Source organism: Homo sapiens, chromosome 5 (assembly GCF_000001405.40).
Source record: "Homo sapiens chromosome 5, GRCh38.p14 Primary Assembly".
NCBI classification, from domain to species: domain Eukaryota; kingdom Metazoa; phylum Chordata; class Mammalia; order Primates; family Hominidae; genus Homo; species Homo sapiens.
This window is the reverse complement of record NC_000005.10, coordinates 57,689,817-57,717,744: the sequence shown is the minus strand read 5'-3', so window position 1 is coordinate 57,717,744 and position 27,928 is coordinate 57,689,817. Positions and strand designations below refer to the sequence as shown.

At 36.6% G+C, this 27,928-nt stretch overlaps 4 annotated features.

The window, feature by feature from the left end:
• Positions 458 to 1,657: an enhancer, noted in NCBI's record as "MED14-independent group 3 enhancer chr5:57011915-57013114 (GRCh37/hg19 assembly coordinates)". NCBI's record gives its function as "activates an origin of replication core promoter dependent on BRD2, BRD4, P300/CBP and CDK7 cofactors, and independent of MED14, by STARR-seq in HCT116 cells {active_cell/tissue: HCT116}" and the evidence as "EXISTENCE:reporter gene assay evidence [ECO:0000049][PMID:35650434]".
• Positions 18,471 to 18,975: an enhancer, noted in NCBI's record as "OCT4-NANOG hESC enhancer chr5:56994597-56995101 (GRCh37/hg19 assembly coordinates)". NCBI's record gives its function as "activates a minimal SCP1, AML or CMV promoter by ChIP-STARR-seq in naive and primed H9 embryonic stem cells {active_cell/tissue: H9 hESC(naive and primed)}" and the evidence as "EXISTENCE:reporter gene assay evidence [ECO:0000049][PMID:30033119]".
• Positions 23,923 to 25,122: an enhancer, noted in NCBI's record as "BRD4-independent group 4 enhancer chr5:56988450-56989649 (GRCh37/hg19 assembly coordinates)". NCBI's record gives its function as "activates an origin of replication core promoter dependent on BRD2, P300/CBP, MED14 and CDK7 cofactors, and independent of BRD4, by STARR-seq in HCT116 cells {active_cell/tissue: HCT116}" and the evidence as "EXISTENCE:reporter gene assay evidence [ECO:0000049][PMID:35650434]".
• Positions 24,309 to 24,603: an enhancer, noted in NCBI's record as "tiled region #2408; HepG2 Activating DNase matched - State 5:Enh, and K562 Activating DNase unmatched - State 5:Enh". NCBI's record gives its function as "activates a minimal TATA promoter and a strong SV40 promoter by Sharpr-MPRA in HepG2 and K562 cells {active_cell/tissue: HepG2 | K562}" and the evidence as "EXISTENCE:reporter gene assay evidence [ECO:0000049][PMID:27701403]".

Sequence of the window (27,928 nt, the reverse complement as noted above, 5' to 3'; positions counted from 1 at the left end):
GCAGGGTTGTATATCATAAAACTAAAAAGACACCAATAGGTAGGGAAAGTGTAGAGTTCCCTGATTACACCATCCCTGAAAGTCATTTCAGAGCATGTGGCAAAGACCAAGGTCTCTACTAGATAAATTAGACCCATCCTTTATTATGTTTACTTCTGGTATTTGTATGGTTTCGTATTTTATATTTAGATCCTTGGTCCACTTCTAATTTATTTTTATGTATGATGTGGGATATGGAGCTTGTTTTATTTTTTCAAATGAATAAATAGTTGTCCATGCTTCATTTACTGAAAAACTTATTTTTGCCCCAGTGTTTTGAAATGTCACCTTTTTAAACATTTAAGTGTTACATGTACTTGGACCTATATCTGCACTTCCTTTTATATTGCACTTGTCTAATATTCTATTCAAACATCAGTACTAAAGAGTTTTAATTACAGAGACTATATGTTATTGTATGTCTTCATATCTAATTGGGCTAATTGCTCTTTATAACTCTTTTATGTATTTCTGATTATTGTTTTCTAGCTCCACACACACACAAAACAAACAAAACACACTTGTTGGTAGTTTTATTGAACTTATGTTAAATTTATAAGTTAACTTAGAAAGAACTGATAGTTTTATAATGTTGAGTCATCAGACCTAAAACAAGGGATCTATTTGTTCAAGTCTACTTTTATGTCTCTCAGAAGTGCTTTAAAGTTTTCCATGTATAGGATTTACATATTTCTTATTAAATTTAAGTATCTTGTCTTCTTTTTCGCCATTGTAAATGAAATTTCCCCTACCATTTTATGATATAATTGATTATTATTCATTAGCTTTATGTCTTGACACATTAATGAATTCTTTATTGCTGAGTCACCATAGATTCTCTAGGGGGTTTCCAGGTACACGATCATATGATGCTGGTTGGAATGAAAATTGATACTATCCTTATAGTAGGTGAATTTGGCAATATCTAACAAAGCTACATATACATTCCCTTAGGATATAGAATTACCACTTTTAAGTAATTTACTCTGCAGATATACCGTTGATCCTTTAACAGAATCCTTTGAACTGCCAGTCTACTTATACATGGATTTTCTTTTGCCCCTGCCACTCTGAGACAGCAAGAACAGCCCTTCCTCCTGCTTCTCCTCTTCAGCCTACTCAACAAGAAGACAACAAGGACGATGGCCTTACGATGTTCCACTTCCACCTAATTAATAGTAAATATATTTTCTCTTTCTTATGATTTTCTTAATAAAATTTTCTTTTCTCTAGCTTGCTTTATTGCAGTATAGTATATAATACATATAACATATAAAATATATGTTAATCAACTTCTTATGTTATTGGTAAGGCTTCTGGTCAACAATAGGCTATTAGTAGTTAAGTTGCTGGGAAATCAAAAGTTATATATGGACTTTTTAGTGCATGGGGGTTGGCACCACTAACCTGCACATTTTTCAAGGGTCAACTATACCTCCAACAATTTGAAAATACTTGTGCACAAATATATTCCTTGCAGCATTGTTTATTATTATAAAATATTGGAAGCAACATGTCTAAACAAACACTATTCATTAGCCAAACTGTGGTGTATCTAGGAAATGGAATACTAAGCAACTATGCAAAGGAATGAAGCAAAGCTGGAAGAACTGAGGCAGAGTGTGGAAGAGAGCTCCTTTTTTCAGAAAGAAGAGGAAATAAAGTATCTGATTATTTAGGCAAAAACAACAAAGGGACGATAAGTAGAAGACTAATGTGATTGGTTACCTAGAGAAGGCGGATGAGGCTAGGTGGGAAGCATGAAAGGAATGACAGAAGGTGGTCAGTGACCCTCCTCTGTGTATACTTTTTGTACAGGTCTGACTTTTGGGACCATGGCAATGTTTTACATACTCAAAAAAAGGAAAAAGAAAGAAAAAACACACAAAAAAAATCGGAAAGGATAGGGAAATAACTCTAAAATTGAGTCAAAACAAAAACAAATATAGCAAACCATATTTCAAAAGAATAACCTACCTACACTGAATAAATTGGAGAGAGAATTAACCCAGGTAACTTTTTCCTACAGGATTTAAATGATATACACTTAGGCTAAAAACAAATATAATTCTAAACAAATATTGAGTTCTTATTCGTGGGCTTCTTTTACATAGACATGGATGAGCAACCTGAAACCATTTTCTTTGTATTCTATGATTAGCAAATAAGGCATTATGTCATGAATAATGGTAGCCAGGTTTCTCGCCACTGGAAAAGGGAATTACAAGTATGAGAAGGCATGAAAAAATAAACAAACATGAGAAGGCAGAAAGCTAGAATGATCCCACTAGTATGAATTGGAAATGGAGATATCAGTGTAGACTCATGTTTTTTAGATAAAAATAGTAGAAGTGAGTAAGAGAGATAATAGATATTAAAATATATAAATGTGTGAAAGGGTCTATAAGTAATTATTTCTTGATAGAATCAAGCACATCTTTTTAGATAAATGACCGATTTCAGGGCTGAGGCAGGGAGATTACAAAATGAGGTCGCAACATCTTCTTGTACCAGAAAGTAAAGAAGTGCTACAAGAAACATGGGAATGTACCAAAAGGACCCAGGAGCCAATCTGAAAGACTCCCACTTACCAAAACTGAAATAATTTAGAATCAAAATAACTAATAGAAAAGTATTAAAATCCACTGAATAAAACAATAACCCAATGAGTCTACATTGTTATAAACAAACAAAATAATGGGAGAAGGGCTGTAGTAGAAAGGCAGCTAACAAATGTAGAAGAAATTGTAAAATACAAAACTACCATTTAGTAATCATAATAACAATTGACTCAAGCAAGAATCTCCAGTGAGTACTAAAACCACTGGAGGGAAGTTTAAGAACTAATAATATATTTATATAATCTCCAAGTATCTCCTCACAGATATTTATCAATTACAAAAGACAAAGAGGTAACTTTACAGTGATAAAATCTGGCAGACAATATGTTAAGCAGTCAAAGTTAATATTGCCAATATTGGGACAAAATGCTTCTACAGTGTTCCTGCTAAAAGTATATTGTAACCTCAATGTAATCATGAGGAAACATAAGCAAATCCAAAGTAAGGGACAATCTACAAAATACTTGGCCTATTCTTTCTAGAAAACTATAAACCTATTCCAGATTAAAAGAAAGCTAAGACATATGACAACTGAATATAACACATAAACTTTCATCTTCTTTTGCTAGAAGGAACATTATTAGGAAAATTGACAAATCTGAATAGGACTGAGATTATATGATAATATGTTAATTTTTAATGTTCTGATTTTGATAACTATGTTGTAGTTATGGAAAAGACTGCTCTTGTTTTTATAAAATACATGCTAAACTCTTTAGGAATAAAGGAGAATCATATCTATAAGTTACTGTTGAACAGTTCAGGGAAAAATCATATATAGATAGATAACTGATGACGATGACGAGAAGGAGGAGGAAGGGATAGATAGGTAGATAAATAGATAATTGATAGATAGTCTTAGATAGATAGATGATACCATCTAGATAGATAGATAGATGATAGCATCTAGAAAGATAGATGATAATAGATAGATGATAGATAGATAGATAGATAGATAGATAGATAGATAGATAGATGATAGATAGATAGATAGAGTCTTAGTTCATTAAATCTGCTATAACAAAAATACACAAACGGGTAACTTATAAAGAACAAAAAGTTTATTTCCCACAGTTCTGAAGGCTGGGAAGTCTATGATCAAGGCACCAGCAGATGCACTGTCTGGTGAAGGCCTGCTTCCTCATAGACTGTGTCTTCTTGTGCCTTCACATGGTGGAAGGGGCATATCAGCTCTCTGGGGCCTCTTTCATAAGGACACTGTGTTAGTCTGTCTTCACACTGCTGATAAAGACATAGCCAAGACTAGGAAGAAAAAGGTTTAGTGGACTTACAGTTCCACATGGCTGAGGAGGCCTTACGATCATAGTGGAAGGCAAAGAGGAGCAAGTCATGTCTTACATGGATGGCAGCAGGCAAAGAGAGCTTGTGCAGGAAAATTCCCCTTTTTAAAACCATCAGACCTCATGAGACTTATTCACTATCACGAGAACAGCATGGGAAAGACCTGTCCCCATGATTCAATTGACTCCCACTAGGTCCCTCCCAAAACACGTGGGAATTCAGGATGAGATTTGGGTGGTGACACAGCCAAACCATTTTAGGCACTAAACTACTCATGAGGGCACCACCCTCATGACCTAATCATCTCCCAAGGCTCCATCTACTTACATCATCACCTCGGTGAATAGCATTCAACATATGAATTTGGAGGAGGTGGGGAACAGAAACATTCAGACTATAGCAGATAGATAGATAGATAAATAGATGATAGATAGATAGATAGTAGATAGACATAAAAAATAAATGTTTAAATAAAAAATAAATGTTAACACTTAGAGAATCTGGGTAAAGAGTATATGATCATTCTTTGTATCATACTGACAAATTTTTGTAAATCTGAAAATATGCCAAAATATTTATTTTTAAATTTGGGTTGGCTGGAAGGCAAGAACATATATGCAGAATACTACATGTGCTACCTCTCCTACCCAGAGGAACATTTTTCACAGCCCCATAGGTGCCTGCTCTGGCACCATGATTGAAATAGTGTAGGCATAGGACTAGCTGTCAGGAAATTTAGTATCAATTTGGATCCTAACCATGTTCCATGGAAAAGCTGTGTATCATCTCTGAGCTTCAGTGTTCTGATGTGAAAGGAGGCTTAAGCAAGATGATCTCTCCAAACATTAAATAGCTTTTGAAAATCTGCTATATGCTATAACTGAGATAGTTCTGCAAGCAAAGCATCTGCTCTCATGGAGATAATAGTCTAATGCAGATGGCAGATTTAAAACAAATTGTTATAGGTGTATAAAGTTCTGAAAGAGGAAAAAATATTTAAGAATATAAAACAAGGGGATCAAAGAACATACATTAAAGAGATATGAGTCTTGGGAGATCAGGGAATGCTTCCTCAGGGGAGCTGCAGTAAAGCTGCAGCCTAAATGTAGAATAGGGGTTAGCTGGTGTAGCTGGTAGAAGGCAGATAGGCAAGAGCACTCCAGGAAAAGAAACAATGTGCAAGATTTGAGGAAGGCCATTTCTTGGTATCTATGAAGAATTGAACAAAATCCAGGATATATGGACTGGAGAGAGAGTTCTCAGGCTAGAACTGCAATATTGGATAGAGAGGTGGGTAGGCAGGGAATGCCTCGTGGTGAATGCTGTCTCATGAATATTAAAACCACTTCTAAATCTATGATTCTGTTTAAAAAGGTATTTATATGTGAATATTTGACTTTAAAAAGGAATCCAAATTTCATAGGCCATTACAATATGGTTTAGCACTTAAATGTTTGGCTTATGGTAGTTACCCAGAAATATTTGTTGAATGTCAAGTATATTCATTACTCTATAGTTCTCCAGCCTAAGAGCTACCTCTGCTGAAAGCTTACTATATCACACAGGGCCTGGAAGTCATCATGAAATTACCAGCCTCTACCTTAGGGTCTGGCACAAGCAAATCTTGATGCTGACAGAGAAATCCATCAATAGTGACAGAAAGGGACACAGTCCTCAGCACAGAATGTTTGATGGCTGTGCAATTGTTTAAAGCCTGTAGTCAACCAAGCTTTGAAGTAAACATTGAATAATTGTCCCTTGGCTGGAAGACTGACGATGTCATCTAATATTTCCTGTCTGCAAATTAGAATTGCAGATTAGTTCATGGAAAGTTATATTATAATTTCTATAACTTCTCTTAAAAGAATAAATTTCACTCTCTTTGGGATTTATGTCACCTTGATTATAAGAGAAAAGCATATGTCCACATGGAAGATCAACAATAAATTCATGTTCCTATAAAATGGGGACAAAGTGGGTCAATAGCCTTAAATCAGCCAAGGCAAAGACAATTGGGCGCTATGGCGTTTTACTATGAGTCTGTGTCTGGATTCTTATCTTCTGCAGGGCCAATAAGACTGCTAACCTAATCTGCTGTTGTGCTCCAGCAAGGGAAAGTCATAGCACAAAGCCCAGTCATAGCATCTGCTTACTCACAGAAAGGCAGTGATTGTGTGCAGGGCCAGGAAGGAGGGTCTTCATGTGGATAATAGCAGGGACTTGACATTTCTGTAAACCAGCCTTGCTGGAAGTGCTTTGTATAACAACTAATATGGTGTAGTGTTAATGGGACCTAATAAACATGATGTAGAATCATCTCCCAACCCAGGGGTCTTGCCACAGTGAGAACTTATCCTTGGGTAATGAGAGAAAGAAATGTATTTCTTCCTGGCACATCTCTCCCAAGCTAAATAGGTCATAAGAAGAATCACTGTGGATCAGAATTGTGCCAGATAACCCCTGCACACCCTGTGACAGGTTGCTTTAGTTCAGCTCATAGAGAGGAAAATCTAACTTAGCTCTTGAAGACAATTTTATCAAATACCATCTCTGAATCAAAATCCATGTTTCTTAGTTTGGCATCCAAATCTCTCCATAATCTGGTTTAAGCTTCCCTTTTCAGTGCTTATGTCCTACCATCCTTTAGCCCAACTAGCTACACTCCCCAGTCCTGTTTCTCAGCACTCATATTCCATTGGTACCTTTCCCCCATCTTGACATGACCAAACTATTTCCAAGGTCCAGCACAAAAACAGTTCTTCTACAAAACATTTCCCTATGCCCATCCCTCTACATCTTCAGCTTCTGAAATCTCTTAGCTCTTTTCATTGTGCCCCTAATTTTGATTATTCTATTTTATGTCCAGATGTTGGAGTGTCATTTCTTCATTTAATTATCACAAAATTGTGTTTAGTTTGTGAAAGGAAAAAATGTAGCAAAGAGAAGTTAAAAGTTTTGCCCAAGCTAAATGACTCTCATGGGTAGCACAGGACATAACAAATAATAACTGTTTGAAAAATGTGTAATTTTAAATGCATTATTTTCAATAAGTGAAAGACTGATAACACAATTCAGCTACAATCATTTGGGTATTTTTAACCTACTCCAAAAGTTAGCAGCATGATAAATGGGCCTCAATAGAGTGTACCTAGCACATCCATTTATTTCCCAAGTATAATATCATTTGCACATTTATAGGACTTCTTATTTTATAAACAAAGCAAGATACTTGTTAAAAAAATATACGAAAAGTATGCCTAAATGGTTTTATTATTTAGAAAAACAAGTGACACAGCCATGATGAATCTGACTTCCATGAAACCAAGGCCAAAATTTCTGAACATTTTTTCTCCTCGTCTTTGAACCACCAGGAAGGCAGTCTCTCCACAACACAGACAAAGGTCATCTCTCTGATTCCACCATCCCCAAACCATTTTCTACAAACACAGAGAACTAATTACTGAGCTGAAGAAAAATCATCTGGTGAAAACTGGCAACAGTGATGATATGCTATGGGAGGAACTGCACAGTCAGCTCCACAGACTTCTCTGATAGAGAGAACTCAATACTAATTAGTACAGGAAGGAGTAAAGGCTGATATGGTACAGCAGCACTTTGGCCTGAAAAGCCAAGGGGATTTCTAAAAATATACAAGAAAACTGCACTATGAAGTCCTCATTTCCTACCGCCTCTCCCTCCCTGGCCTTGGATACTTCTCCCAGAGCCAGCCTAGCATCTCAGGTTGGATTTCCCTGAAAACAGGAAAACCATGGCAAGGACTCAGAAAATCCCATCCCTGAGGAAGGGGCACTAGAGCTAAGAGCAGTTGCCTAGAACAGTGGGGGTAAATGATAAAGACAAAGGAAGAGGAAAACACAATCTTAAACTTAAGTGAAACTGCCTTTGCAAAAATTATAACTATGAGAAAATTATGACAGTGAAAGAGATCTGATCTAACCAAATCCTGTCTTGCCTTTAACCTCCAAACTGCCCTTAGTTATTTCTGGGCTTGGGCCACGTTAACTTTGGGAGAAATTTAGTTTAAATGACAATGGCTCTTCCCCAAAACTTAACTGTCTTTGGAAAGCTAATGAAAGACCATCTGGTTAAGAGGATGAGAAGAGCCTGAACCCTGCTAAGGTGTAGACAGAAATGACTACCAGTGTATATTCTGTAGGTCACAAGATTTGTAATTTCCCCAATTACTCCTGCAGTTAACATCACTATTGTAGAACATAAGATTGGCCTTTTGAGATGTCTTTTCATGTTTTTGCATTTCTGCTGACAAATGGCTCCACTCAGACCCACCAACAACTGTTCTGTGGCCCCATCCAGAAGCATGACTCAGCTCATAAGAGGACCACTCTCCACACCCCTATATTGTATCTCCAACCAATAAGCAGCACCCATTCTCTTGTCCACCAAAATATCCTTGAAAAACTCTAGCCTCCAAATGTTTAGAAAGGCTGATTTGAGTAATAATAAAACTCCAGTCTCCTGTTCAGCTGGCTCTGCGTGAATTAAACTCTCTCTATTGCAATTCCCCTGTCTTGGTAAATCAGCTCTATCTGGACAGCAAGCAAAATGAATCCATTGGGTGGCTGCAGAAGCTTGAATTGCTAAATGTGGAAGATACCTATCTCAGGGTGGAGGTGATTGGAGGCTTCATGACTATCTAGCTGCACCAGAGGTGGGGACCCATGGGCCCTCTCCTTAAGCCACTACAGTGATATATAAGAGGGGTAATTATTTCTGTCTCATCCTGGTTAAGTCACACAAATGTGGCTGCATCCATCTGGGAAAGGGAAAGCCTCTTTTGAGCTGAGCATGTTGGACGCTTTGGGAATTCTCTGGTGTAACTTAAGTACCAGAAACTGTTTTATTTTCATAAGAAAATTATATATAAGAGAGTTTTCTAAGACTTTTCTTTCATTTGTGGAGAATAGGGTTTCTATTCTATAAAAATAGTGGGGATTCTGGGTGGGGTACTGCCTGAGAGAGGTTGGCACAGCTGACATTCAACAGCCAGCCCCACTACACTGTAAACTTCCCCATTCCACACCCCATGCTTCATCGATTTGCCTTCCTTAGAAAAGTCCACCAATGGGGTTGTGGGGGAAAGGAAGTGCTATGGGGCTCCTTGTGATGTTCTAGCTGCCTCCTGGTCCTCACTATTTGCATATGGCGCTAGTCTACCTGGAGTCTGTATGTTTTTCTTATAACAGTACCCTTTTCTCATTCTTAAAAAAACCAAGAACAATTCTATCCCCTCTGATTTTTATGAGATATCTACAGCCTGCTCAGCAGAGACTCCCTTTGCTAAAAAAAATGGTCTAACTGATCCCCTCCAGGATTTCTGAACAATCTCCCATGAGCCTCTGAATATGCCACCAAATTAGAGGAACAGACTTGACAATTATGACTAATCCCTTTCCATAAGGTTATGGCTTTTAGGTGTGTAGCTGATTGTTTGTGTGAAGCATTTCCCTTCAAAAAAGAGAATCCTTAGGAAGTATTAGACAGGCTCATTTACTCCGTGTCCTGCAAAATAAAATCTCAGCAGAAAAGCATAAGTAAGCTAAAATTAGAATGTGAGGATTCCCCTACACAATTGTCTTCTGTTGAGATGCTGTGCAGGTAAAAATTGCTTAGATATTTTCCTACACATCTTGGAGATACAGAAAGCAAAGTGGAGTATACTTGACTGTGAACTCTTTGAGGTTAGATGCTCTAATTTCTTTTTATTTCTACTGTCAGATACAGGGCCTGACATATAAACGACAATTAATAAGTGTAAGTTAGAGTCTGAGTCTGTTCACAAGAAAGATAAAAGAGTAAGTATGAAATACTATACATTAGAAATACTGTAAGTTAAAAACTGAATCAGTTTCAGAATAGAAGTGTTGTTTTATATGGTATCATATATAAGACCAACTTTTAAAAGAGCTGTAGCAGGCCTAGATAACAAGGGAGTATAGATTAAAAGTCCAGCCTATCTAATCAGAAGGGCTTAATTATAGAAAAGTCTCAGAATTCTGAGTGGCTTATTTCATGTCAAAGCAATGATCATGAAAATAAAAGGACTTGTGAAGTCAGTAAATGACCAACAAACTTACACTTGAGAGGAGAACAATCAAGATGTAATGAAAAATCTAAGACATCTGGACATTTGAAGACAGTAACATCAAAAAGGGTCTCCAAGAAAGAGCGTTTTTGAAGAAAATAGCACATCAAGCTGAAGGCCAAGCATTCTCATGACTAACTACAACAGTATAAGAAGGATTAATGTGGCATGTGTGAGTATAAATGTAGAGTTGTGATATTAAAAATGTTTTGAATCACCAAACTAAACCTGTTGTCTATTTGCCCTAAGCCTTCTTCTCTTAGATTCAGTATTACCAAAGTAAGCTCTTGCATTTTCCCCCTTAGATTTGATTTGACTTTGATAAAGTTTTTAAGTGCTCTAAATAATATATTAGAAATAGACCTTTAAATCCTAGTGACACAATTTATGCTCAGAGACATTTCCTTTGACTTGTAAGCATAGTCTGAAATTTCCCCAACCAGATATTGAGGGAAGTCATTTCTAAACCCTTTCAATAAAAGAAAGCAAAAAAACCACACATTGAGGAACTATTTTCACCAATTTTTTATCTAAGTCCATTTCAAAGCCCATTTTAAAAATGCCAAAAAAAAAACTTGGCTAATTCATAAAATGCTGCACAAACACAAGGCAAACCATCATCATAAATAACAGACTGCCATCAGCTAACTTAAGTGTACCATAGAGCTATATGACAAGACCCACTGATAAGAGACTCAACCTTGCTCTTATCTCAGTGCCCAAGAAATCTTTTGACAGGATAAATTTGAACATTTTATTTCTGAACCCAATAAGAATAAAACCACAAGAACTCATGTCAGGAATAGAGCATGAGGATTCTTTGAAAGCTCATAAGTAATCTATAAGTTTATCCTTTTCCTCATTTCAAAGAGAATCACATCTCATTTTATAGGACTGCTAGAAATATATACAGGAAACACTTCAGCTTTTTTTTTTTTTTGAAGAAAAGTAACCATGAGAACAAATATGGCTACCTAGCTCATTGCAATTCTATGCAAATGATATTTGGTACATACTCAAAGCCACTACAGAAATCTTTATCAGCAAAAAATATGCTTCTCATTTCAACCCAAACTCCATTTATCTTCTAAACCTTCTAGGAGTTCTATGGAAATGATCCTCATTAACAAAAATTTGACAGGAAAAGAGAGATTACGTATGGCAAATGAGCTGAAGTGAATTCTCAAGGTTAGTGAGTAAATCACTGGTGAAAATATAATGAAGATGCAGGACTCTTGATTTTCCAATGTAATAATTATTTGACCATTAGAACTTAAATTAACAGATCCCAAAATGAATTCAACTCCAATTATTAAAAACTGGAAACCCTCAAGGACAAATGAAACTAACTTCATAGGTTTTGACTATTCTGAAAATATAATTTATTTAAAGCTGAATATAAAGTCATTATTAATTTAGAGAACAATGTATTTTTAAAAGCGCACTGTCCTCTCACTCCCTTCAGTAAGAATCTGCACCGGTAAGAAGCGTTCTGCTTCTTAGCTGTTGTATTCGGATATGAGTATGTTTTTTACATTCTAATAAAAAAAATAGGTTATGCCATTAGACTCAGCAGCATCTCAGAGAGTTCAATAGGCATTCTGTCTTTCTCCCAACGCCTGCTGCCATGTATCACCCAAACACTAATGGAAATAATAGATAAGTTCACCTTTGGACTCTGACAATAATCCTTGAAGCCAAGGACAAATTTCAAAATCCATCAACTACTGAAAAGAAAATAGATACACTGCTATTGTATATTGGGCTCTGCTGGCAAGCTACTTTAATGTTAACATAAGGTAACTTCCCTGATTCCAGTGCTTGTTTGTGATCATGTAAATAGCTGGTTAGATTTTGTGTCATCTAGATTATGTCTCATCCAACCCACGAACTTAAATACTATGGCGTAAACATTTCATGAGGAAGTTGGATAGATGAGTTTAGAATAAGATTGAAAAAACATTAGCTGGTAAAAGTGTCCTTCAAAACATGTTCATTAGGAATACAAATGAGAATTTATGGTTACAACATATTCTTAGCCTTTGTGTAGTTCTGCTAGAGAAGGCCTGGAATCTGAATGAATATCCCTGAGGTCACACCCTCATTGGTGTGCTTCAGAAAAGCAGATATCCAGACCAATGAGGATAAATACGACACATAAAGGAAAAATCATATTCGACTGCACTCTTCCAAGCATTATCGGCCACTAAAGTCACTCTTTGCTGCAGCCAAAATCTCCCACCTTCACCATTTCTTCTCCTGTTATCATGTTTGTTTGGGTTTTTTAAATATCTTTTTTCTGAGCTTGTGCAAACTCGTTTCTCCCTTTTCATTCTATCATCCTACACATTGTCTGTGGCCAGTTCATTCTTCCTTCCACCAGCTTCACTCATGTCATTCCCTACCCAAAATGGTCATTGTGTTTCTACTCTCCATAAAAATTTTATTCACCACTGATTTTATCTGAAGAATGCAAAGCCAAAGGAAATTTATTATTGTTGTTGTTCTTGCTGCTGCTATTGTTGTTAAGTTGCAAGCTTGCTTTCTTCTTGGTCTGCTTCTCCAACATGCCTCTCTGAGTCATGAAAGGTAAACTCTTTTCTCCACAGATCTTAACACAATCCTCTTCTCCCTCTTCTTTCCTCTGCTAACCTTTTATTTGATAATCCACAGTCTACATGTTCTCTTTACCTTCAATCTCCAAATGCAGAAATCTCCCTAAGCTTGTCATGGGAGGAATTTTCTACATTTTATTTTCTCCAAGTACCGTACAGTTTTATTTTTCCTCTTCCTCCTTCATTGCCACAAGTCATCTAAAATCTTCTGCCCCATTTCTGATTCTCTCGTTAACTCACTGGACTCTGACTTTCATCATCAACCAGCTACTAAAACTTCTCTTCTTTTTGAAGGTGTCTCATCCTTCAAGGAGGAATCTCCAGAGCAGGGTATACGCACCCAAGAAGTAAGAAATAGTCAGTTGCAGCATGGGAAAAATATTAGAATTTCTATTAATATATTGTATTCTATAATAACATTAAAGGAAGTAGGCATCGATATTTAATATAAAAATATCATATGTGTGTAAGTCTATACACACAGCAAGTATGAAGCTATCATGCTACTCACATGCAATTACTCTTTTCCACCATATTACAAAAACTATAATTTGTGTGCCTATCAAGGTAGATTTATAGATGGTATCATGTTTTTAACATAAACTAAACCTCACAAAAAATATAAGTACCTTAAAAACATTTCTTATAAGAAACCACAGGTTGAAAAAGAAGCAATGTTTATAAAACAGGAAATAAGGAAATGGCAAAGAAGACATTTCTACTTTTAGTTTCAACTATTTTTTGTACCACATAACAAAATTAATATATAAACCTAATAAGATCCAACAAAGAGAGCGATTAAAATATCATGAAGAGGACTACTTGAAATATGGACTTATTTCCATTATTGTTAATGAGATTTTATTTTACAAAGAGGCAAGTGTTTCATATTAGTTGATCTTTTTTGTAATGACAATTTGCTGATGATAATATAACTACAGAGATAAGAAATAAAAACTTCAGTGGTTAAAAGTGGCTTCTAAATAATGAGTAAGAAATTAGCTGCTTTCTCAGCCAACAAACATGAAAAAATGCTAATCATCAGTAAATCATCAGAGAAATGCAAATCAAAACCACAGTGAGATACTATCTCACACCAGTCAGAATGACTACTATTAAAAAGTCAAAAAAACAACAGATGTTGGGTAGGCTGTGGAGAAAAGGGAATACTTACATGTTATTGGTAGGAATGTAAATCAGTTCTGCCGCTGTGAAAAGCCCTTTGGAGATTTCTCAAATAACTTAAAGCAGAACTACCATTCAACCCATCAATCCCATTCCTGGGTATATATCCAAAAGAAAGCAAATAGTGCTACCTAAAAGACACATGCACTCTTATGTTCACCACAATACTATTCACAATGGCAAAGTCATGGAATCACCCTAGGTGCCCGTCAACAGTGGATTGGATAAAGAAAATGTGGTAATATACCACATAGAATACTATGCAGCCATAAAAAAGAATGAAATCATGTCCTTTGCAGCAACGTGGATGCAACCAGAGGCTGTTATCCTAAGCAAATTAACACAGGAACAGAATAACACAGGAACAGAAAACCAAATACCACATGTTCTCACTTACAAAGTGGGAGCTAAACATCAGGTATTCATGGATATAAACATGGGAACAATAGACACTGGGAACTACTAGAGGAGAGAGGGAGGGTGGAAGGGGGACAAGCACTGAAAAACTAACTGTTTGGTGCTATGCTCAGTACCTGGCTGACAGGATCATTTGTGCCTCAAACCTCAGCATCACACAATATACTCAGGTAGCAAACCTGCACATGTACCCCCAAATCTAAAATAGAAGTTGAAAGAAAAAGAAAAAGAAAAATGAATCAGCTGTTTTCAAAGGAAATATATGCTATGGTGAAAGCATATTGAAACTGAAATTTAGAAATTATTATATAATTATGTGTGAAATCACTATATGATTTTGGTGCCCAAAATATTGTAAGTATATCACTTACACACACTTTTACATCTGCACTCTAAAAATAATTGAAAATATAATTTTAATGTGTTTAAAGTCTTCGAAATAAATGTGTTCGTATGTTTTATGTGAATACATATATATAGAATATATGTATACATATGGAATATGACATAGAGCGCACAATTTGTTGACAATTTTGTTAACATTGGGGACAAAGTAAACTTACAAACTGAACTTTAACAAATAACTTTGTAATTGGTGGATAGGATTGAAAAATTTGAACAATAGATTATTAAGTGTATCATTAAAGATTTTGCTTAGTTCTTCATATATTTTTCATGTGAACACCACTAGAACCAAGTATTAAATTAAAGGAACCCATGGCCAGACCTTGGAATTATGATACTACTATGTGATTCATAAATGTAAACCAAAATTTAAAAGCTTTTAATTAGGTTAATTCCATTCATAATCAAGATTTTCAGCAGGAGAAATTATATAACCAAAGATGTAAATAAAAACCCTCTACTTTTACATTAGAATTAGAAATAACATGTATTTACAAGTTACTTTTTTCTTTCATACACACACATACACTCACACACTTATAGCTTCTCCCAGTAAAAAAATCCCAGAAGAATTAATAATCCAGTAGCAGTAAACACCCTTACTGCACAGCTTGTGATTTCTAAATACAGTTGCCCACTAAAAAGGATCAATGATCCTTGGAAAAATGCTGCTTGAAGGTCTGGAGCAGAATATATACAAGATGAACTTGGCCACCTTGTTGATGTTGGGTGCTATGTTTGGAGACAACAGTAAAAAAGGTAGTAAAGACTAATGAGTTTTAATAAAAAGACTTAGTAGCCAAATTGGAGAGGCTGCTTCACCAGCAATGTGATAATTTTGAGCACCAAATATAATAACAACTAAAGTTTATTAAAACATAAAATATATAAAAATCCATGAATTTATACTTCATCATGATATTAAATAATTTTTTTAAAAACCTCAATTTTCTGAAAAAATGACAAAGGGAAATTATCAAACAATGTTCTATCTTTCTTATATGAACCATATTTTGGGATGACCAGTAGTTGACAAATGATTCTTTTTATAGAAGATTTCTAGTTTGTAAATTCAGAAGGAGGAATAGAATTTTTTTAAGTTACAATTTACAATCCCCCCACCCCCAAAATAATGTATCTAAGCAATGGACATCAATGGATACTAAAATCATTAGGTAAAATAGTTCTTTATAACAGATGAATAGAATAAGGTTTCAAATACATAAGCCTACTGATAAATCTTAAAATCTAAAATGACCATTAAAAGTGGGTCAATAGATATGTATCTTCTGGTATATTCCAATAGTAAAAGACACAACTTCTAGATCTAACTATTGGTTTATAGCAAATAAGGAGCTAGAGAAACAAATTAAGCAAAACATAAAGAAGCAATAATTCATATCCAAACATGAGATATTCTATAGAAAATATGACCTGGTTTCTACAACAAATGAAATATATATATATTTAAGATAAAGCTTTTGTAAATTAAAAGAGACAGGACACAACAACTAAACACTAAGTGGATCTTGCTTGGATCTTGGTTTGGACATATACCAACTCTAAAAAATGTTTTGAGACAATTAGGGAAATTTGAATATGGACTGGTATTCGATATTAAGAAATTATTGCTAATTTTAGGTGTGATATAACATTGTGTTTATTTTTAAAATTTATTACAAATTAAAGATACATCTTGAAATATTTATAGGTAAAATGATGTCTAGAGTTTGCTCTATAATACTCTAGACCCCCTACAAAATATCAAGTAGTAAGGATGGGTAAATGAACAAGATTGACAAAATGTTATAGATTTTTAAAGTTGGATGATGATTCCATGGAGGGTAATTATAGTATTACCTCTATTTATTTTTATCTTTGAAAATTCTATTATAAAAATTTAAACTGCAATGCTTTTACTAAAAATATTAATATTATTCTTACTATTATTATTTTAGTGGGAGGGAAATGTTTGCTTTAGAATTGTAAAAGTATTATTTAATGTTTTAATTTCTTCCTTAACTCAAATTTTTGTATGTTATTTAATCAGGAATAAGTAGAATACAAATGTAAGTGATTTAAAATAAATAAATACCTTTGGTGCAGGCTCAAAACATTTTTACTACTATAGGAAATACTAATGATGAAAGTTTGGGGACCACTTCTTTAAAGATGACAGTATTGTATGTAGATCTCTATCCTATTTCTTTAAACATTCCTTCTTTATTGCTTTTCTGACTTTTCTTGCTTCTTCTGCCCCATAATTCTGGCCATTGCCTTGCCCTGTGCCTCTCTCTCTGCCCCCTTCTATGTTGCTTGAATGTGGGTCTCTCTCCCTCTCTCGGCCTCTCTGCTTCTCATCATCCTTTCTCTGGTTGCTATTTTCTCTTTGGAGTTCCTCCCAATTGATAAGCCCAGTCCCATTTTCACTACATCCTAGAATCCAATTCCAATCTTTTACCTACAACTTAGTAGGAATATATCCTGACGCCAAGAATGTAAAACTCTGAGTCAACCATCTCCAAGCACACTTCATCCTCCCAATCATATCCTATGGATTTTTATTTTTCATTTTAAATGTCTTTATACCCTCTCACCTCTGTCTTCATTCTCACTGCCTCAATTTAAATCCAAGTTTTCATATTGTTCCCTCAAATAGCACCGCTGAAAATTGCCTCCTAACAAGACTTTCTTATGCCATTCTCTCATATCACAGCAGCACTAATATTTGCGAAACACCCCTTTTATCAGGTCACAACTTTCAAGGGCTGCTATTTCCTACCACACCACATCACAAGTCTTTTGCCTGGTTTCCAAATCTGTTTGTCATATAATGACGCCTCCCTACCAGCCCAATTACAACCTCATCCTTCTATCCAGGGCATTTTCCATTGGACTCACTCCCATCTCTGTGCCTTTGTTTCTCTTATTCTCCTCACCTGCAATATTCTTCTCTTTCCTCACCATCTATTCTTCAACCCCTCCCCTTCATTACAGGTCCATGTTTCCTTCCTGCATGAAGCCTTCTTTGAATTACATTTGCTCCCAGTTATCTACCCCTCTCTAAAATCCTAAAGCATTTACTCTTTGTGCAACCAATTTCAGGCTGAATTATAAATAAAACTATAACTTATATAAATCTTTAATCTTATCTTTTTTTATTGTCAATCCCAAATCTGCAATATTACATGAGTACCCAGGTTGGGAAGCATACGAGAGACGTAAAGAAAAGCTTTGTCAAGGGAAGTTACCGAGCATCAGCGACTGACTGAATTCTTTTAAAGTTTTTAATACCCTTTCAATCGCAAGCAAAATAAATCTAACTCAAACTGGCTTTTGGAAAAAATGGTAAAACATTTCTGTCACTGGGGAATCCAAAGGTGCATGTAGATGTAGGAGCTCTGCCCTCAAGACTTTCTTTCTCTCAATTTCATGCTTATCCCCATGTCTTGGCTTCATTTTCATATAGCCTTTCCCTATATAGCAGGAAAGATAATTACTCGCAGCACAAATCTGTCATCGGACTCACGATTCAAACGGAAGTAAGATCTCATCTAGTGCCCACACATCAAGAAGACTTTATTGTCTATGCTTGGTCACAAACCAACTCCTAGACCCACCACCATGGAAATGTGCAGGAGCTCCGTAATTGTCTAGCTGGATCATGTGCCCACACAATAGATATTTAGAGTACAGTGTTGTTGAAAGAGGGGGAAGCCTTTGTTGTCTTAAATCATATAGGCACCTTTTAATTGCATCTGTTTGTAGAACTGGCCACTTTCAATTTATATAATAACTATATGATAATTTACAAATTAGCTTCTGTGTGGGATGTCACTGTGGTCTCTGTTCTCTATTTTTATACCATTTTTCATATATTACAGTAAGGAAAAAAAGGAGTCAAGAATAAATCTAGGCTGATACATGAGCCAGCTGGCTTTTGCCATTGGGTTATTGTAATCATGAGGGTAAATGGGAAGTGCAGATGAGAGCATTATCCTGTCACTACTTGAACAGCCTCTTCACCTGGAGTATTTGCATTCCATTCAGATGTGTCATTATTCTCAGGAATGTGAAGGGCATCACTCACCCTTCCCTGCTGGTGCCTTGTATACCCATTTTCCTTAGATCCATGGAAGGTCAGGCCTGTTTTTATTCCCTTAGATTTAAATCTCCCCTTAGCTTACTCAGTGCCTTTTACTTAGGAAGCTGAAAAAGAAATACACTAAGGACCTATGAAGTATGAATATTCAAGCACTACAATATAAACAGAAAGTAAAAATAGCAATTTGAAATTATAGGAAGTATGAATTTCAAAATTATAATTTTAGCTTTTTTTCTCTGTTACGAGGAATAGACCTCGATTTCCTCCTGTAATAAGTTAATATAGCCATTTTTGCTAAATGTTTTAATTTTTTTTAAACTTAATATGTATAATTTAAAATACACTAGAAATGCTTGAACACAATTAGAACCTGGGACAAATTTTATGATATTTTATATCCCTTTCAAAAGTTAATACAATAATTTGGGTTTAGTGCTTATGTTTTTCTTGATTTAGTATACAAATGAGGACTGCCTTAGCATTGAGCCTCTGATTGAGGCTGATAAGTAGAACACAAAAATATTTTTCCCCAAAAGTATACTTGTACAATTCCTGAGGAATTTTCCCTAATAAAAACCATGAAAAATAGGTCATTCTATCCTGCCAAAGCTTAAAGTCGCAGTTTCTAGGGCCTAGTTCATTCTCTTAACAAAAATCAGGGTTTCTCTTTCACAAGCTGACGTATTTTCTATTTACAGTCTGTTCTTTAGAAACATTTCCACATGAAAATATCAGAATCCAATTGGACTTCCTGTTAAAATGCAAGTATTATTCATGGCCCTCTGAAATTACTTCTTCCCCTGTTCTTATGACACCTCTAAGATTCAGTGAGTCTTAGGTTTTATTCATCTAAACTTAATTTTCCATTCATTGAATTAAGAAGTCCTCTAGACCATGAGGGGGTCTATGAGTTTTACTAATGTCTACACACTTGTTCCCATTGGCATGACTCAGTACAAGAAAACGAGGGCATAGTGGAGAATTTGAGGTTTCATGGGTCATCAGGGACCAACATCACTATCCCTTGACCTTGTGACTGTAGGGAATGAAGTCCTATTTGCCACACTAAGGGGGCATCTGCCTTATGGTACTCTGCTTCCTTTCTGTGTTAAGATTAGGTTAAAGGTTAAAATCTTAATTAGAGATGTTGCCCTTGAATCTTGGAAAGGATGTGGCCAATGGTATATATGGAAGGAAGATACAAAGTTTGGCTCTTTCAGTCAAAATGATAATACGGCATGAGTCTTAATATTGGTAAGACTCTCTCTTACCAATAAAAGTGAATGAATTACTTATTAAAATAGTACAGTGAGAAATGGATACCTTACTCATTATACAGAGTTTAGCATGATATTCTATCAGTAAATAGTGCACAAACAATGGATTCAGTTTTATCTTCAAAGCTTTAAAGGGTTAAGGAAATCATGTTAACATAAAGATCCCTGGCCTGGCCTTCTACTCCAAGCAGTAGTGGAACTCCATCCTGTTATTTAAAAAAGACAGAAAAAAAAGTTGACTCTGGCTTCTGTATTCAATCCAAACACACTCACTCTGTCTCATGGCTGGCAAGTCACTTGACTCCATCCTCTCCAAAGAAAAAAAGAAAAAAAAAAAAACTAAACTCAAGTAAAAGTTAACTGGATAAAAAGTTTTTAAGAGATAAATTTCTAGGGCTAACAAATGAATAGCCCTGGACAGTAGAAAACTGTTATTTAGACTTTAGCCATCTGGCATGTAGCCTTTCAGATTCATTTTCTCCCTTTTCTATGGCGTGTCCAGCCAGCTTCGGGCTGAACTGTTTGAAGGATGTTATCTTGCCTCCCCAGCACTATGACTTCTTATCTAATTTCTGCTCCTCTGTATACCAATGTGCCAAGTCTCTGTCATATAGGCTCGTTCTCCTCCAAGCAAAGCCAACCGTTGTCTGCTAGGCATTTTGTTAACACATTACATACACATAATAAGATGTTGTTCACTCTACACAGATGTATAAAGCTAAAAAACTAGCACTATCATTACATATTCCAGTTTAGCTATTTTAAGGCCACTACACTCCCATATTACAAAGCCATGCTATTTATACAATCATGCATATGGAAGACTCATCCCTCCTGTGAAATTTCAGCCCAGTGTGCATAGAAGACAAAATTACAGGCCCCAAACTTGAATATACACTCATCCTGGCTTGCTTATCTTCCTTGGATGCAAGCCAAGTTGATTAATAATTTTTAAGTAAAAAAGAAAACAATTTTAATTTGATAAAAAGAATACAAAAAAACAGCACAAACAAGAAAAATAGCCAATCTCAACCCAGAAGGGGAAGCTCCAGGGACAAAGCAACTGGGAAAGTGAACAAAAGGCTGGGGTGCTGACCTTAACTTGCCTGTGTAAGGGGCCTGCTCCTCAGCTGTGCCTCATTATTCACAAAAACACAACAGAACAGACAGAAACTACAGCTCGAGAAAATGATATCCTTTAAAACTATCCTACAGCTTTCTGTAACAAAATGATGAAGAAAATGCATTTACTTGACTTTCTAAATTATAGGAAGAATATGTTTTTCCAAATAAATTTGTTATATCATCTTTCTCCCAACAGTTTGAGGCACTGGAATAGCTAAAGTGGTTCACTTTCTGTTGCCCAGTAGTGATAGACATAACAGTGCTTTCACCTCCTACCTCTCCAGAGAGTGCAAGACAAAGGGACTGTGAGTAATATTATCCCAATTAGCAAAGACAGAGGGCAGTCTGCAGAGTAAGGTTCCTGGTTTATATTTATTTCACCTTAGGACTCCAGAGGGAATGGTCCATCTTTAAAGTGTGCCTTTGGCTGAGATACCAGGGACAAGGAGGTGGGAAGGCTGTCTGATTAGGAGTCCAGAAGATCCTACCTATCAGATGCATGGCCCTCAGAAGGACAGAGAAGGGAAAGGCTACAAAGCAATCTGGTTCTAGATTTTGTATATGACCTAATCCCTAGTCTCCAGAGTACAGGCCTTCACTGCCAAAAACAAAAGTAAAAATCTCCACCACCTGTCTCCTAAACAAGATAAAATTTATTACTTTTAACTGAATAGACACACACGAATGGGTGTCAGCTGTGACAGGCCCCAGGGGTAGTGGTCTTGACAGGTAGATGGAGCCTCCCTTCCTCTGACTTCTTGCCATTGGCACACAGTCGCCGACCGCCTATTCTTGCCCCATTCCTCACCCTGGGATTTACAGGGGCTGGTGTTGTGATAATGAGGACACAGACAAAACTATAGGCCAGGACCCAGGAACTACACAGGTTTCTGAGTTTGGGGAGGCACTTTCATGGCTTATGAAACACTGGAAGGCTGCCGCTCTAGAGGACACCAGCACCCCATTTCACTGCTCAAAGCACGTACTGGAATCAAATCGCCCCTACGATTTCTGGCAAAAAGAAGGTGGGGCACTTCCCTGTTGGCTGGACTTCAGAAAGCAGGAAAATCAGGGTTGGCCTGCCTGGGTAACATTGTTCCATAGCAGAAAGTGATGTGTTGCTGTGGCTATTTTTTTTTTTTTTCCTTTAGCTGAGACATTTTCCCAGTATCTCTTTAGATAGAAAGTCAGTACCTTTTCCCTGGGTACATAGATCAACTTATGCAACTCAAGGGCAAGACAAACAAGCCATTATGATCTATCAGAATGAAAACAGTGTTTGTGTGTGTGTAAGAGAGAGCGAAAGAGAGTTGACATCATTATGGGAGAAGGATTTTTGTTTTTTGCATCGGTAAACTGGTCCCCTGAAAGTAGCAAAAGCTGTGTAGCTTTTTCTGTCATAAGCTGTATTTTATTATGCTTCATTAATAATGCAAATCTCCTTCGTTCAATTTTCTTAATTTCTTGCAGGATAAGAAATAGGGTGAAATAAAGATATCCTGTAGATCAGTGGATCTCAACCTTGGCTGCACATCAGAATCACCTGGAAGCTTTTAAAAATCCCCTAATCAGGCTACATCCCAGATTAATTAAATCCGAAGCTCTGGAGTGTGGGATGGAGGCATCAGTAGCCAATAAAGCTTGCCAGGTGACTCCTGGCAAGTCCAACATGTAGCCAAGATGTAGAACCACTGCCTCAGGCACCTGAAGTCCTCTGTTTTGTGTGTCACTCTGAACCCAAGAAATATGACTTTAAAACAAAAGGAAGAACGCACAAGCTCTTCTGTATTCACCTTAATATATTTCACTAACAAAATTTATTCAGCACATTTTAAAACAAAAACAAAGCTTTTAATATGTAATATATCAGTACATATTTTCCAAATTAAGTTCACAATTCACATAGAATAATTAACAACAATGTCAACTGTGATATGAATAAGAAGTTTCTTAATTTATCTCCAACTAAATACTGTTTTTACTTATCTTTTGCTTTGTTTAATATTACTGTTTTTCTCCTGCACATCTAATCTGTGAATAGAAAAAAGCCATTCCTTTATTCTTAAGTGACATCCATAATATTTGAGTTTGTTTCAGTGTTTCACATTCCTTTTTTAAATTAAAAAAAAAAGCAGTAGATATGGTAAGTATAAATGAAGTTGCAAATTAAATACCCCCAAAATAGCATTTTTCCATTCAAATGGACAACAATTTTGAAAGGTTAATAGCTTTCAAAGTTGGTGAGATTAGGAATTTGGGATTCTTAAATACTGTAGATGGGATTATAAATTTCCACAACCTTTTGAGAACCTAGTCTGTCAGAAATATGCAACCTTTTGAATTCTGATGCTAGCCAAGAGAAATAAAAGCACCAATACACAGAGATACATGTGAAAGAATATTGATTGCAACACTGTGTGTAATTGGGAAAACCGAAAGCAAACTGAACATTCATCAGAGGAAAAGAAATGACCAGTTTTACTTGCTCATGACTGAAATTGTTACAATAAGCATGTATTATCCTATAATTCAAATAACAATATACCTTTTTAAAAGCAAGGGAGAAAACCAGGAAGATAGCTATTAAATAAGATATTTTTCTCTTTGTTCCTTACTTGGCTGGCTCAAGCAAGTTCCAACATGGATTTCTGCACATCCAAAATCTCATGCGGAGATTAGTTTCTTCTTGTTTTCGTTGTACTCCCCATACACACACACACTCATTTCCCATAAATCATCAAAAGGATAGCTTTTCTTTCAATGCACATAATCTTGTTAATTGGGTACGTCTTATTTCTAATCAATTTGCAGAGAAGGTTTCAGAACACGAGTAGAAGACTATCAACTCTCACTGCTGATAAGGAGGGAGGAAAACCATTTAAGGTGCAAGGAATTTCAAGCCGTTGTTAGGAACAACAGGAATGCAGGGATCTAAAATTGCATACCAGGTAACAATCGGCGGCTCTGTTCAAATCAGAAATGGGACACAGAGAATCAAATTAGTATATTTGAATTCCATTCTAAATATTTTCCTTCTTGCTTAGTTAAATGTTATTTTTCAGGGTATATATGTAGCTGCAACATGTATTATCCTCAATGACACATCATTTGCTGGGATTCATTTGAGACGTAAGTGGGACCAGCAAATGGTTGCTGTTCTGTTTCTGTAGACTGACTAGAACAAGGCTAGAGAGGAAACAGAGACTGGCATTCATTCAGTGCCATTTGCAATGTGGAATGACTCATGCTTGCCTGGCCCCTGGTGAGTCATCAGCTGAACTCCAGGTCCAGGGAGGCCACAGCATTTCCATGGGGCGTTCTAATTCAGGTCATGCTGAGGTCAGCAGACTGCCAAAAATCACACGCTCCTTCCCTGGCCACCTCTTAAAAATATCCTGGGAATGTCTGTCTAGAAGGATTAAGGTCACTCTAATGCCTCATTAAAAAAAAACAACTTCATTTACCTTAAAAGATGAACTGTCTGGTAACAGACATAGATGAGGAGTGAAGACACTAAGCTCACATGCTGATTATTAGATTTCTAAAAAGGAAGCGTAATATCCTACCAATTCCATTTGGGGAAAGGCAGAAACTCATTCCCACACTAGACTCAGTTTAAGCAAGCCACCCTTGTCTCTGATTGGCCCCTTTTTTCCCCCTTAAGAAACAGGAATGCTGATTCTCAATCTTTCAAAATACTGAAGTTACCATGTCCTGGCTATGGGGACTGTGAGGTCACTGAGAGCAGACCCATTGCAAGCAGCACAGCACTGCAATTATGCCATCCAAGACAGACAGACATTTGTCTGTTTTCTGAGGTTTCCAGGGAAAGAGTTTGCGGACACTCTTAGCAATGTTTCTAGATCACAGAACGTTGCCTGTATTGGCTGGAGAGTTGGCTAGTGCAGTTGAATCTCATTCTTCTGTTTTCCCAGGAGATAATGGAACATAGCTGGCTATTATATAGGACAAAAATAATTGCTGAATTGGTATCATAACCAATTCAAGTGTAAACAAGATCAATCAACTTATTATTTTGTGAATCCAATAATCCCACACAATTATTTAATAATTTTTTTCCTGATTTGTTTTCTTATTTGAGACTGTGCTTATAATGTATTCAACATTGACTCGGTCAAGACCATTAAGACAAAGCATAAATTTTGCTTACTTTTAAGTAAACATGTAGAATTTATTATTGTTATTGTTATAATTATATTTATTGTTATGTAGCCCAAATAGTTGAATCATGATGATATATGATGGTATAAATTTTAAGGTGGTCAGGTCATTATCTTCAGGTTTCTGTCTCTTCTACTTTACTAGGTAGTTCTTCCTCGATGGTCTAGATTAACCCTGAGTAACAATTCTCTCCCACTGCTTCCAAAAAAATTGCTGGAAGAAAGTTTACGTGGAACAAAGATGTTCCTGATTTGAAAACAATTAGTATATCTGTCAGTGTCTCATCAAGAAGCAAATAGCATACTCAAAGAGGGTGATTAAAGAGGTTTTAGTGAAAAGATGTATTAAAGATGTGGGTAGTGTCTTGGGGGAAAGAGAGTCTGAGATGAAATTTTCTTGTAGAAAGTCTCTTGGGGAGTGCCCATGGTATTAACACTTGTGAAGGTGGGGGAAACAAAATTGAGCAGAAGTAGAAGCTGAACCTCGTTGCAATCACAACAAAGATGTGAGGCTATCCCACAGGGAGCTCTGAAGCTGGCATGGCCCTTGAAAATTATTCCTTTTTAGACAAAAGGCCAAGCCTTTGTATTCATCCCCAGATAGGCCAGTCACTGGATGCTTGCTGACCCTGGAAACATGGGCCGAAGTGGCTCTTCACTGAGGGCAACTTTCTTCACAGCTGGAGGAATAAGAGCCTCCGTGCTGGAGTGGGTTCTGACACACCACACCATCCTCACAGGCAAGATGGGGCAGCTTCTCAGAGTCAGCAGCAATGATCCATGGCCACCTTGAAGCCTGAAGAGGTGAGGAGTGGAGCTGAAATGTGATGATGTCTGTGGTTGGTGGAAGAGGGCCACTCTACTGCAGCCGATATTTGGTGGAGGAGCACAGCCACTACCAGCCAGTGCCCAGGCAGGGAGGAAATGGAGGCAACAAATACCACAACTCTCTCTTCTCACCCTCCAGTTCCCTGCCAGAGTTCCCCACTGGCCAATTACAAAAGAAAGCCAGGGACAAAGAGGCCAGCCTTTAGATTACAGCCCCCTGGAACACAGAGCAGGACAGAAAAGAGAGTGGATCTGAAGAAGCTAAGATATTCAGCACATTCAGACTCTTAGCTGAAAATCCAGTTGTCAAAAGTTGGCCATTACATTTATATTCATTTAAGAGCAAAGTAATTTTACTTTCCCAGCTTTCTTTAACTTAAGACACATAGGAAATGTGGAGTCCTAATTAGGAAAAAGGAATCAAGTGGGTGGGAGCAGGAAAAAGCAGAGAGAAAGCAGATAAGCTACAAGTCTGCCTTTCTCCATGGTCCAGGACACATAGCCCTCCCATGCAAATAACTCACAGTCTTCCTGCTCCCAGCTATCACCATACCTTAGGCTGATAAAAAAATATATATATGTATGTCTGCTCACTGCAGCCTTGGCGTTATCAGTACTGCACAAAGCCCTCATCAGCACACAGCATAAGCACCATTTTATAAAATCCCCAGCAAGCCTTTGTCTCCGTGCAGTCAGCTCTTCTCTTGCTGATTGGCCCATTGCACCCTTGTAATGTATTTTCATACTTTTCCTAATAAACCTGCCTTTCTTTACCTATAACTGTCTTAGTAAATCCTACTTACCACTGACACCACTGGCCCCAGATAGCCGCTACCTGCGACAGAAGCTTTCTTCAAGTACTGTCTACTGACCAAGCAGATGGGTTAAAATTGTGTGAACTTGCTTGTATTTTTTCTGATGAGGGAAAAGATATGTGAAAAATAACCCCAACATGGATTTACTTTTCCTAGTTTAAATCTCAAAAATTGAGTCTAAAGTATCAATTATTTACCATCATAAAATTATTAGAATTTTTAGTAACAAAATTTATAAACAATAAATACTTATAAACAATACATTTATAAACAAAAAAGTATTCTCTTCTGCTGAATGCTACATGGTGGAAAAAATACGTAAGTAAAAACCAAGCAAATAAAGATAGAAGCCATGTTCTTTATGCAGTCATTGCAGTCATTTAGAAGAGGCAGGGCACTACCTGGGGGATCAAAGAAAACCTCAGAAGGGAGGAAGGACTGGAAAATAGAAAATGCAATATATGCCCTGCAAATAACTCTTTGTCAAGATTTCAGGGGCTAATAATAATAACCCCAATAATAATCTTATAAAGAAGAGCATTTCAGAAAGCAGCACTTTATAACAATTTCCATTCAATTGGCACCTACGAAGTGTCCATTGTAGTTTCTAATAAAGTACATGCAGACAGCTCTAAGACAGACAACTACCTACTTGAAATGTCCAAGTGAATTTTCCATATGCAACTCGGATGTGAAACGTTCAACAATGCATTCTTGTGTTTAGTTATTCAATGCATTTATTCCTTCTGTACTCTATTTCTCAGGAAACATATCTCTACTCACCCAGGTCTTTACCCAGAAGAAACCTCAGAGCCCCCCACGACCACTCCTTCCTCTTTAGCCCAAACACATGATCCATCCTAAGCTCTGCTTAGTCTTTCTACAAAAA